At 47.4% G+C, this 13030-nt stretch overlaps 1 protein-coding gene across 1 annotated transcript, besides 3 other annotated features; it reads right to left on the reverse strand.

Moving 5' to 3' along the window:
• Nucleotides 7622-7916: an enhancer, noted in NCBI's record as "tiled region #2626; HepG2 Activating DNase matched - State 5:Enh". NCBI's record gives its function as "activates a minimal TATA promoter and a strong SV40 promoter by Sharpr-MPRA in HepG2 cells {active_cell/tissue: HepG2}" and the evidence as "EXISTENCE:reporter gene assay evidence [ECO:0000049][PMID:27701403]".
• SEPHS2 (selenophosphate synthetase 2) lies at nt 8925-11168 on the reverse strand. The gene has a single exon (NM_012248.4). The coding sequence runs from the start codon at nt 11019-11021 to the stop codon at nt 9675-9677; it is 1347 nt and encodes a 448-aa protein (NP_036380.2). The 5' UTR covers nt 11022-11168; the 3' UTR covers nt 8925-9674.
• Nucleotides 10360-11306: an enhancer, noted in NCBI's record as "H3K27ac hESC enhancer chr16:30456387-30457333 (GRCh37/hg19 assembly coordinates)". NCBI's record gives its function as "activates a minimal SCP1, AML or CMV promoter by ChIP-STARR-seq in primed H9 embryonic stem cells {active_cell/tissue: H9 hESC(primed)}" and the evidence as "EXISTENCE:reporter gene assay evidence [ECO:0000049][PMID:30033119]".
• Nucleotides 10633-10752: a silencer, noted in NCBI's record as "silent region_7374". NCBI's record gives its function as "represses an Ori minimal core promoter by ATAC-STARR-seq in GM12878 lymphoblastoid cells {active_cell/tissue: GM12878}" and the evidence as "EXISTENCE:reporter gene assay evidence [ECO:0000049][PMID:35858748]".

The following is a 13030-nucleotide window of genomic DNA, read 5'->3' on the forward strand; positions in this document are numbered from 1 at the left end:
TGATTGTGCCACTGCACTCCAGCCTGGGCAACAGAGCGAGACTCTGTCTCCAAAAAAAAAAAAAAAGAACTGGAGGAGGCAAGAGTAGAAGCAGGGGGATGAGTTACTGCTGTTGTCCAGGCAAGAGATGATGGTGACTTGAGCCAGGTGATGGTGGGTGAAGATGGAGCAAAGTGGATGTCTTGGGAACGTATTTTGAAGGTAGATCTGGAGGTTTTTGTTGGTTTTGAATGGGGGATGGGAGAAAGGGTAGAATGGCTTACAGATTTTGAGGGTTTGGCAACCCGGTGGGTGGATGGTGACTGATTTGGGGATGGAAAAGATGAGGGACAGGACTGAACACGTGTGGCCTCAGGCGTGTGGTTTAGGGCAAGGCAAGTTGAAGAGGCATGGTGAGTTGGCAGTGAAGTTTTGAATCTAAGGTTTAGAGGAGAGATCAGGGCTAGACATTCAGATGTGGCAGTCTCAATCATTTAGACAATACTGAAAGTCAAGGAACTGAAGATGAATAACTAACACAAGAATCTAGGCAGAAAAGACCAAGATTTGGAGCCAGGCATGGTGGCTCACTTCTGTAATACTAGCGCTTTGGGAAGCTGAGGTGGGAGGATTGCTTGAGCCCAGGAGTTTGATACTAGCCTGGGCAACATAGTGAGATGTTTTCTATATTATTAATGTTTACTTATTTATTTATTTATATTTTATTATTATTATTATTTTGAGATGGAGTCTTGATGTGTTGCCCAGGCTGGAGTGCAGTGGCACGATCTCGGCTCACTGCAACCTCTGTTCAAATGATACTCCTGCCTCAGCCTCCCGAGTAGCTGGGACTACAGGCATACACCACCACGCTTGGCTAATTTTTTTATTTTTATTAGAGACGGGGTCTCACCATGTTGGCCAGGCGGGAGTACAGTGGTGTAATCACAGCTCGCTGCAGCCTCGAACTCCTGGACTCAAGTGATCCTGCTGCCTCAGCCTCCCAAAGTGCTGGGGTTACAGGCATCAGCCACCGTGCCCCAGTAACTAGCTCTTTATGAGCCTATCTTCCCAAGAGACGGGATCCATGAGTCTTTTCAAATCAAAGGTGTTTTTCCAGTGCAAGCCAATAAAGGTTTAATGGCCGGCTGGATGGATTGGGCCAGGCAAGCAGGCCATGCTTGCAGTACATCCTTCTGCTACTGGGAGAAAAGGTGCTGCTATAATTCAGAATATTTGTTCTTAAATTTTTCAGGGAGAGTCATAACAGGGGCTTTTAGGAATCTCCAGCCTAGCTCATTCAGGCCAGAGAGTCCCCAACACCCTTTGAAGTCTTCTTCGAACCTGCTTTTCCATCCTGTCCCTGTACACACTTGCTGAAGTCCAGAGAGATGTTCCGGACTCTTCCCTCCCCACCTTTGCTTCCTCAGTTTCCTCCATCTGGAATGCCCGCCCCGTTCTGTGCACATCCAAATCCAAATGCCACCCATCCTGCAGAGCCCTGTTTCAAGGCCACCTCGTCTGAAAAGCCTTCCTAAACTTCCTCCTAAAAGGAAATAGGGTCAGGCACAGTGGCTCATGCCTGTAATCCCAGCACTTTGGGAGGCCAAGGCAGGAGGATCACTTGAAAAACCAGGAGTTAGTTTCGTTTCGTTTTTTTTCTTTCTTTCTTTCTTTCTCGTTCTTTCTTTCCTTCCTTCTTTCTTTCTTTCTTTCTTTCTTTCTTTCTTTCTTTCTTCCTTCCTCTCTCTCTTTCTCTCTTTCTTTCTTTCTTTCTTAGGTAGAGTCTTGCTCTGTCACCCAGGCTGCTGTGTAGTGCTGTGATCTTGTCTCACTGCAACCTCAGCCTCCCAGGTTCAAGCCATTCTCCTTCCTCAGCTTCCCAAATAGCTGGGATTACAGGCCTGTGCCACCATGCCTGGCTAATTTTTTTTGTATTTTTAGTAGAGACAGGGTTTCACCATGTTGGTCGGGCTGGTCTTAAACTCCTGACCTCAAATGATCCGCCCACCTCGGCCTCCCATACTGCTGGGATTACAGGCCATGGTGCCCAACCTGAAGCCAGGGACCAGCCTAGGCAACATAGCAAGACCCCATCTATACAAAAACACTTTTAAACTTATCTGGGTGTGGTGGTGTGTGCCTCTAGTCCCAGCTGCTCAGGGGAGGCTAAGGTGGGAGGATCACTTGAGCCTAGGATGTCGAGGCTGCAGTGAGCTATGATTGTGCCACTGCACTTTAGTCTGGGTTACAGTCTCAAATAAAAAAAGTGGTACCAGCTTCAATTGCAGGAGACACCAAGAGCCCCAGAAGAGTGAAAAGAAAGGGTCAGTACCTATGGACCAGGCACTGTTCTAGCTGCTGGAGATACTGAACATCCCTACCTTCCTGGTGCTTACATACTAGCAGAAGGGAACAATTCTTTTTTTTTCTTTTTTTCTTTTTTTTGAGACAAAGTCTTGCCCTCTTGCCCAGGCTGGAGTGCAATGGCATGATCTCGGCTCACTGCAACCTCCACCTCCCAGGTTCAAGCGATTCCCCTGTCTCAGCTTCCCAAGTAGCTGGGATTACAGGTGCCCGCCACCACGCCTGGCTAATTTTTGTATTTTTAGTAGAGACGGGGTTTCACCATGTTGGCCAGGCTGGTCTCGAACTGCTGACATCATGATCCGCCCGCCTCAGCCTCCCAAAGTGCTGGGATTACAGGCATGAGCCACCATGCCTTGCCCAGAAGGAGACAATTCTAAAGCGAACTAACACATTCTCAAGGGAATTATAGGCTAGGATAAGAGCTACAAAGCAAATAAACAGGGTGATGCATTGGAGAGTGGCTGGTTGTTGGCCAGGAGGTGGGAAAGGGCCTTTGTGAAGAGGTTTTATTTGAACTGAGACAGGACTGAGAACAAGCCAGTCAGGTGAGTGTGAGGTGAGGTTCCAGACAGCGGGAACTGCAAGCACAAAGGATCTTGATTTGTTTGAAGTCCCAGGGAAGGCTGATGGGCCAGCAGGTAGTGAGAGAGGTAGAGAGAGTGCCATGAGATGAAGCTGGAGATCTGTAGCAGGGGTGGGAAATTGCTGGAAAAGCTGTTTCTGCACTTTGAACAGGAGAAAAATGGATTGAATTGATTTACCTATTTTTTGTTGTTGATGTTAATAGTATTTACATAACTGGCTATGTAAATATTCAATGTTGGCCAGGCACGGTGACTCACACCTGTAATCCCAGGATTACTTTGGGAGGCCGAGGCAGGTGGATCACTTGAGATCAGGAGTTCCAGACCAGCCTGGCCAACATGGTGAAACCCTGTTTCTACTGAAAATACAAAAAGTAGTCAGGCATGGTGGTGTCTGCCTGTAATCCCAGCTACTCGGGAGGCTGAGGCGGGAGAATCGCTTGAACCTAGGAGGCACAGGTTGCAGTGACCCGCCATCATGCCACTGCACTCCAGCCTGGGCAACACCGTGAGACTCTGTCTCAAAAAAAAAAAGTCAATGTTCAATTATTATTCTCCCTATACCTCATACAAATGTATGACTACATTTCATTTGTTCTATAAGGTTGTTTTGGGCTGGAGTTGGTTAGTTGGTTTATTTTACAGGGTTATTCTTGGCTGTGTTGATTCATTTTTTGTTGTCATTTGTGAATTTTCTTTTTTCTCTCTTTTTTTTTTTTTTTGACATGGAGTCTCGTTCTTGTTGCCCAGGCTGGAGTGCAATGGTGCGATCTCGGCTCACTGTAACATCCACCTCCAGGGTTCAAGTGATTCTCCTGCCTGAGCCTCCCGAGTAGCTGGGATTACAGGTGCCCACCACCACTCCTGGCTAATTTTGTATTTTTAGTAGAGACAAGGTTTCTCCATGTTGGTCAGGCTGGTCTCAAACTCCCGACCGCAGGTGATCCACCCGCCTTAGCCTCTCAAAGTGCTGAGATTACAGGTGTGAGCCACCGCGCCTGGCAGTCGTTTGCTAATTTTCTAAATGATTATCACAAATTCTTTTTTTTTTTTTTCGGTAGAGACAGAGTCTCATTATGTTGCTCAGGCTGCTTTTGAATTCCTGGCCTCAAGCAGTCCTCCTGCCTCAGCCTCCCAAAGTGCTGAGATTACAGGCATGAGCCACCATGCCTGGCCACTAATTGTTTTCACATATTCGATTATCCTGCCAATACAATTTTCACACAATTAAATGTATCAATATTATATCAGTTTCATATTTTTCTTTTCTGGAAGGCCTTTCTGGAAGCCTTCCAGGCTCCCTGTCCAGTGTGGGCTGGTTGCTCTGTAAGCCTACTGTTTAGCTATTACCTTCACCTCTCTCCTGTGCTGGGTTGCATTTCCTTAATCTCATGTTTTTCTCTTTCTCAGTTTGCTTCCTTGTTTTTTGTTTTGTTTTGTTTTGATTTTTTGGTTTTTTTTTTGAGACAGAGTCACGCTTTGTCACCCAGGCTGGAGTGCAGTGGCACGATTTCGGCTCACTGCAACCTCCCCGCCTCCTGGGCTTAAGTGATTCTTCTGCCTCAGCCTCCTAAGTAGCTAGGATTGCAGGCACCCGCCACCAACTACGCCTGGCTAATTTTTGTATTTTTAGTAGAGACGGGGTTTTCTTTTTTTTTTTTTTTTTGAAACAATCTCGCTCTGTCGCCCAGGCTGGAGTACAGTGGCACGATCTCAGCTCATTGCAACCTCTGCCTCCTGGGTTCAAGCAGTTTTCCTGCCTCAGCCTCCCAAGTAGCTGGGATTACAGGCACCCACCACCATGCCTGGCTAATTTTTTACATTTTTAGTAGAGACAAGGTTTCACCATGTTGGCCAGGCTGGTCTTGAACTCCTGACCTCGTGATCTGCCCGCCTCGGCCTCCCAAGGTACTGGGATTAATAGGCATGAGCCACCGCACCTGGCCTGCTTCCTTGTTTTGTTGGAGCATATCCTCTGGTAGTTTCTTGAGAAAAAGTACATGGGATGAAGCCATTTTGATACCCTGTATGCCCCAAGATATCTTTATTTTACTTATTTGAAAAATGTGGCTTGCTGTAGACTTCTACAGAGATTATCATTTACCCTCAGAATTTTGAAGGCATTGCTTTTGTGTGTGTGTTGTTTTTAAATTTTTTTTCTGAGACAGGGTCTCACTCTGTTGCTCAAGCAATCCTTGCACCTCGGCCTCAGGCGCATGCCACCATGCCTGGCTAAACTTAATTTTCTATTTTTTTTGTAGAAATAGGATCTCACTGTATTGCCCAGGCTGGTCACAAACTCCTAGGCTCAAGTGATCCTCCTGCCTCGGCTTTCCAAAGTGCTGGAATTACAGGTGTGAGCCACCGCACCTGGCTGCTTTATTGTTTTTTAGCTTCCAATTTGAGGTTGTGAAGTCTGATGTCATGATGACATACAAAGGTGTGTCATTATTCCCACACCTTTGTATGTGATCATAGTGATCAGAAGCATGGGTTCTGGAGTCAGACCGCCTACAAGACTGACTATGCAAGCTTGGACAAATTTCTTATTCTCCCTATACCTCAGCTTCCTCATTTGCAAATTGGGGTTGTTAGAAGATTGGGTTAATACGTATAAAGCACTTACTTCCTGCACAGAATATGTGCTATATAAACATTTGCTTTCATTATTATTAGGATCTCTTCTTCATAACTGGCATTTTGAAATTTAATAAAATTAGCATGGATCTTTTAAAATGTACTGTGCTAGGAGTTCAAGAGGTATGTGGTTTACAACTTTTAAGTTCTAGAAAACTTGGATAATATTTTTTCTTCCATCTGCTTTACTGCCTTATTCTAGAACTCCGCTTAGATGTTGAACCTCCTGCCTCATTTGATCTTTATAGAATTTATTTTATTGTGCATCTTTTTGGGCTACTTTTTTTTTTTATTTTACTTCACGTTCTGGGATACATGTGCAGAACATGCAGGCCTGTTACACAGGTATACATGTGCTATGGTGGTTTGCTGCACCTATCAACCTGTCATCTAGGTTTTAAGCCCCGCATGCTTTAGCTGTTTGTCCTAATGCTCTCCCTCCCTTTGCCCCCAACCCCCAATGGGCCCTGGTGTGTGATGTTCCCCTCCCTGTGTCCATGTGTTCTCATTTGTTCAACTCCCACTTATGAGTGAGAACATGCAAGTGTTTGGTTTTCTGTTCCTGTGTTAGTTTGCTGAGAATGATGGCTTCCAGCTTCATCCATGTCCCTGCAAAGGACATGAACTCATTCTTTTTTATGGCGACATGGTCTACTTTCTTATTTATTTATTTTTGAGACAGAGTCTCGCTCTGTCACCCAGGCTGGAGTGCAGTGGCATAGTCTTGGCTCACTGCCAGCTCCACCTCCCGGGTTCACGCCGTTCTCCTGCCTCAGCCTCCCAAGTAGCTGGGACTACAGGTGCCTGCCACCACGCCCGGCTAATTTTTTGTATTTTTAGTAGAGACGGGGTTTCGCCGTGTTAGCCAGGATGGTCTTGATCTCCTGACCTCGTGATCCGCCTGCCTTGGCCTCCCAAAGTGCTGGGATTACAGGCGTGAGCCACCGCGCCCGGCTTATTTATTTTTTGAGACAGGATCTCACTGTGTCACCCAGGCTGGACTGCAGTGGTGACTGCAGTGGTGCAATCTTGGCTCACTACAGCCTCCATCTCCCAGGCTCAAGTGATCCTCCCACCCCAGCCTCCAGAGAAGCTGGGACTACAAGTGCACACCACCATGCCTGCTAATTTTTGTATTTTTTGTAGAGACAGGTTTTCGCCACGTTGCTCAGGTTGGTCTTGAACTCATGGGCTCAAGCCCACCTTGGCCTCCCAAAGTGCTGGGATTACAGGTGTGAGTAAGGTGCCTGGCCTTTTGGGGCTACTTTCTGATAAATTTCTGCAACTTTATGTCTCCTATTAGAAATTTTTTTTTTTTTTTTGGAGACAGAATTTTGCCTTGTCATCCAGGCTGGAGTGCAATGGCATGATCTTGGCTCACTGCATCCTCTGCCTCCTGGGTTCAAGTGATTTTCCTGCCTCAGCCTCCTGAGTAGCTGGGATTACAGGTTCATGCCATCAAGCCTGTCTAATTTTTATATTTTTATTAAAGATGGGGGTTTCACCATGTTGGCCAGGCTGGTCTCGAACTCCTGACCTCAGGTGATCCGCCCGCCTTGGCCTCCCAAAATGCTGGGATTACAGATGTGAGCCACTGCACCCAGCCCCCTATTAAAAATTTCAAGTTTTAGCTTTATCTTTATATTCTAAGTGGCTGGTTCTCTTAAGTATTGCTTTGCGGATATTTTTTATCTTTTTTCCTACTCCCTGTATTGTCCCTCTGAGTTTCCTTTTTCTGTTTAAGTTGGAGGCTCTCCTCACATGCTTGGTGATCCTTGACTGCTCATATTTAAGAATGAGGCATTAAAAAGCTTAACATTAGCTGGGCGCGGTGGCTCATGCCTGTAATCCCAGCACTTCAGGAGGCTGAGGCGGGTAAATTGCTTCAGGTTAGGAGTTGGAGACCAGCCTGGCCAACATGGTGAAACCACATTTTCTACTAAAAACACAAAATTCACCGGGCGTGGTGGTGCACACCTGTAATCTCAGCTACTCGGGAGGCTGAGGCAGAAGAATCGCTTGAACCTGGGAGGCGGAGGTTGCAGTGAGCTGAGATCGAACCACTGCACTCCAGCCTGGGCAACAGAGTGAGACTTTGTCCGGAAAAAAAAAAAAAAAAGCTTAACATCATTCAATAAAGGCTTTCACCTAGGAGGCCTTGTGGTAGAGTGATTTTGGGCTTTTATTTATTTTTTTTGAGACAGGGTTTCACTCCCGTCGCCCAGGCTGGACTGCAGTGTTTGCACACTGCAACCTCTGCCTTGCGGGTTCAAGGTTCTCCCACCTCAGCCTCCCGAGTAGCTGGGACTACAGGGGCACGCCATCACACCTGGGTATTTTTGTATTTTTTTTTGTTTTAGTAGAGACGGAGTTTTGCCATATTGGCCAGGCTGAACTCAAACTCCTGAGCTTAAGAGATCTGCCCACCTCGGCCTCCCAAAGTGCTGGGATTATAGGCGTGAGCCACTGGGCCTGGCCTGGCCAGTTTTTTGTTTGTTTGTTTTGAGATGGAGTCTCGCTCTGCTGCCCGGACTGGAGTGCAGTGGTGCAATCTCGGCTCACTGCAAGCTCTGCCTCCCAGGTTCACGCCATTCTCCCACCTCAGCCTTCCCAGTAGCTGGGACTACAGGCGCCCGCCACCACGCCCAGCTAATTTTTTGTATTTTTAGTAGAGATGGGGTTTCATCTTGTTAGCCAGGATGGTCTCAACCTCCTGACCTCATGATCTGCCCGCCTCGGCCTCCCAAAGTGCTGGGATTACAGGCGTGAGCCACCGTGCTGGCCTGGCCAGTATTTTGAATATCTAATTGAGGAAGGGGGCTGGGCAGTCTCATTTTAAATTTTTATTTTTTCAGTTAGGCTCCCTATCCTCTGCTGTGTGTGGTGCTCCCAACTCTACCTGCGTAGGTGAGAGGCAGTCACCTGGCTGTGTGAAATAAGAGTGTGGAGAACGCTAAAGATCGAATTACCGTGTATAAACTCTCAAACAGTATGTTTTATCCCCAGGTCTTACCCCATCTTCCAAGCACATCTTCTTGCTTCTTGTCTTCCCCTACTATGAAGGATTCCTTTAAGTCAGTTACCCCTCTTCCACCTCCTTTCCATCTTTCAAGAATTGTTGACACCTTTCTTTTGCTATTTCCTGCCCACTCTCTAACCCTTGGGGCGTATGCCTGCTTCGAGTCCTTTTCTGTCATTTCAGGGGGAAGGTGCAACCCTAAATCTGGGTGTTAAATTACCCAATTCACCAGCATCAGGGAAAACACTCTCTCTCTGCTATACCAGACTCAGTGTATAAGCTGGTTCGTTTTATAAGACTGTATTGAATTTCAAACCACCAAACATTAGCCAGAATAGTTTTTCAACAAGGTTTCTTTTATTTATTTAGCAAGAAATTACTCTTTATTGATCAAATCACCAGGAATCTGCCGCAAAAGACTTAACATCTTAATGACCACTGAGGCCTGGGCTCTGAGGCTTGCTCTGCCTCTCCCAGTCCTTAATGGGGTTTAGAGGGAGAGACGTCATTAACAGAGACCAAGTCAGATGGTTGCAGGTCCTCCTTTCCCAGTCATCAGACAAGTTGCTCAATTCTTGTCCAGAGCAGGAAAGAGCCAGTACTTCAGTAAAATTGAATAAAGAATTTGATGTTGCATTATAAGATCTCTCTTAACAATTTAGATTTATCAACAATATTGGTCCAAAACTCATTTGCTTCTAATTTTTTTCATTTTGCAATTTACTTTGTGTGTGTGTTACTTTAATAATCTCACTCCCTGTGCAGAAATTAATCAACCCCGTGCAAAGAAAAATCCCTCAACCTGGAATAGCTTCATCTTACTTTGGCAAGAGAAAACAGAGGTATTTTTGCTCCTCTTCTACCCAAGTGATGAACAAATATCCCCCCAAAGTTCAAAATGTTACTCTGGCCTCGGAATGCATATAAAGACTGCTTTAGATGGGCTGATTCCAATCACCTAGAAAGGGCAGCCGGAACCACTATGCAGGCAGCCTTCTTTGGAAATTTCTTACAATCAACTCTTGAGAACCATCCGTGATTGTGGACAATGGCTCTAAGGTCCAAACAACTTCTGTTCTTTCATCTCACGAGCTAGGCTCAGAGGAGGCATTTGAACTGTCAGGAGCAAGAACAGCAGCTGTGGCCCCACGAGGCAGGACTTCAATAACTCGCGGCTTGTCAATGATCCGGGCCGTTCGGTTTCCCTTTTCCACAATGCCAACGATCCACGCTTGGTGACCCTCTCCGTACTTGGAGGATTTGATTTCAGAACAAAAGCGAGCCGCCTGTTCTCTTGGCAGACAAATCAGTAATCCCCCAGAGGTTTCAGCTGAGGTTCCTTGAAGAAGCCCAAACCGTCCACTGGCCTTGCTGACGGCAGCCATCTTGGCAATTATTGGCAGATTATGAATAACAAAGGACACTTCATTTCTTTGTTGTTTTGCAAGGTTCTGGGAGTGTCCTAGAATGCCAAAGCCTGTGATATCTGTGGCCGCATGGGCATTAAATGTGTGCATTAAACCTGCAGCAGTTCTGTTGAGGGTAGCCATATTGAACATGGCTTCCTGATAGGCCAGCTCCACCTCTTCTCTGGAGACCACCATCTTTACTTTATTCCATCTTTCAGGATTATCCAGCCATTGGTGGGCATTGACAGCAACCTGGGTTCCTAACGGTTTGGTTAACACCAGCACGTCCCCAACGACGGCGCTGTCCGGCATTATGAACTCATTTGGTTGGCATACTACAGTGGCAACTCCACCGATTATAATCCAAGGGTTGACCACCGTTTGCCCACCGGTCACTGCCGTCCCTCCTTCCTCAGCCGCATCCCGAAAGCCTTTGACCATGAGTGGCGTTACCTTTTCGCGTTCCTCCTCACTCATACTCTGGCTGACGCTGAGTAACATCAACATGTTGTCACACTCAGTAATCCCCATGGCGTAGAGGTCACTCAGCACGTTGGCACAAGCTATGCGCCCCATCATGTAGGGATCTTCTACCAAGGGGTAAAAGAAGTCCGTGGTCTGCACCAGTGACAGGCCCCCGTGCCTCAGGGGGATGACGCAGGAGTCCATCCCGATGCCCAGGGCTGGAAAGGTGGGGCTGGGGCCCGCTCCTGCCGGCAGGCCGGCTTCCTGGGACGCCTCTTCCTGGCCACCCACCAGGCCCCGGCCCAGCGGGGGCCGCACGTCCGGCCGCGTCAGTCCCGCCAGGAGTTTGAGCAGCGCCTCCTGCGGGACCTTGCAGCCTCAGCCCTTCATGCCGGAGAAGCCCGTCAGCCGCCAGCTCGGGCTGAGGCCCAACGCCTGGGGCTCGAAGGGCCGGTAGTTCGAGAAGCTCCGGCCCAGAGTCAAGCCCGCCGGGCCCGAGGAGCCTTCCGCCGCTGCCATCGCCTCTCCGCAGGCGCCCGTCGCCGAGGCTTCCGCCATGGCGCCTGCCCGGCAGGGAAGCGAGAGGAGAAGAGGGCCCTTTTATTTTCCACTCAGATTAATATGAAGCAAAAGTCAAATATTACCTGCAGGGATTCTCCCTAGCGCTACTCAAGCCGTCAGACCCACGGCATGCACAATCTTCCTGATAGAGGAGCCGCCGGACTCCCTTATTTATAGCCCTGGCGATTGACAGCCGCAACATCCAATGACGACTCCGCCACCGAGAGGCGGGCTTCCTAGACTCTAAAAGGTGCAACAACCTCCGGCTTGCAAAACCGCTTGCAACGGGATTGCAGAACGTCACGTGCTTTCCTTCGCTCTCTTAGTAATTTAAATGGTTTCTTGGCAGTGGCTGACGGAACTCTGCTCCCTTCCAGTCACTTTTCCAAGTCCAGCAAATTGTAGACGAGGGAAGATTGGTCACTCGGCAAACCTCATGATCGGCAGGATTGTCCCAAAGGTCACTTGACAGCGCACATGATCGATCCAGGATGGCAAAATAGCCCAAGGGAAAAAACAGAAAGCATGAGAAATTAGAAATTAAACTACTACCATTAAGTTAGCAAACTGCAGGCAGCATCAATATAATGAAATGTTAACAGGAACTTCAAGAACTCTAGGACTCAGGAGGTCGAGGCTGCAGTGAGCTGCGTCCGCGCCACTGCACTCTAGTCTGGGCGACAGAGCAAGAACCTGTCTCTAAAACAAACAACAATAACAAACAAACAAACACCCCCCCCACACACACAGACACACACAAAAAGAGAGATTTAGGACTGGAAGTCCAGACACCTGCATGGATTCTAATGGTGTTTCCCACCAGCTTTGTGTGGAGTCACTCTCCGCGTCGGTTGACTCATCCATCTGTGGAACAGAGTGGGTTACATAGGACTGGTCTATTCTAAAATTCCTATATCTCTGTAAATAAATATATATATATATCTTATATAGCCATGAAGGGCAGTTTGCCAATATCTATTAAAAACTCCACCTCCCAGGTTCAAGTGATTCTCCTGCTTCAGCCTCCTGAATAGCTGGGATTACAGGTGTGCGCCACCACACCCGGCTTATTTTTGCGTTTTTAGTACAGACGGGATTTCACCACGTTGGCCAGGCTGGTCTCAAACTCCTGACCTCAAGTGATCTGCTGGCCTCGGCCTCCCAAAGTGCTGGGATTACAGGCATAAGCCACCACACCCAGCCAATAAAAACTTTTTTAAAAGACAAGAAAATGAATAGAAGACTCAGCATAGGGGCTATGTCTAGGGAGGGCTACATAGGGAGCTTCTGGGCTATGTTTAATTCTGTTCATTGGGCTGGTGGTGGGTACGTGGTACATGGTTGTTCTTTAAACTGTACATAGATATTTTCGGGGCCGGGCACAGTGGCTCACACCTGTAATCCCAGTACTTTGGGAGGCCGAGGCGGGTGGATCACGAGGTTGGGAGATCGAGGCCAGCTTGATCTATATGGTGAAACCCCGTTTCTACTAAAAATACAAAAATTAGCCGGGCATGGTGGTGAGCGCCTATAATCCCAGCTACTCGGGAGGCTGAGGCAGGAGAATTGCTTGAACTTGGGAGGCAGAGGTTGCAGTGAGCCAAGACTGCACCACTGCACTCCAGCCTGGGTGAAAGAGCGAGACTCTGTCTCAAAAAAAAAAAAAAAAAAAACTGCACATAGATATTTTCCCACACTATTTTTGTAGGTATGCTATATTTCAGAATTTAAAAAACATGCAAAAAGAAAGCATGATGGAGTGGGAAAATACAGTGAAAGCAAAAGACCTTGTATGATGTCTGCATTGCTGTCAGTGAGCTGGCTGACCTTGAGGAAGTGATCTAGCCTCTCTGCACCTTAGTCTTCTCTTCTGTTAAACCAGGGTCACAATCTCTGCTTAGGATCTAGTGGAAGGGCCATAGGAAACCTCAGCTGAAAAGTGTTTTGCAAAATGTTAAGCCTATTGTACAGGGAAAGGATCCTCATATCTCTAAGGGAAAGAGGAA

The sequence above is a fragment of the Homo sapiens genome, chromosome 16, assembly GCF_000001405.40.
Source record: "Homo sapiens chromosome 16, GRCh38.p14 Primary Assembly".
In the NCBI taxonomy this organism is placed as follows: domain Eukaryota; kingdom Metazoa; phylum Chordata; class Mammalia; order Primates; family Hominidae; genus Homo; species Homo sapiens.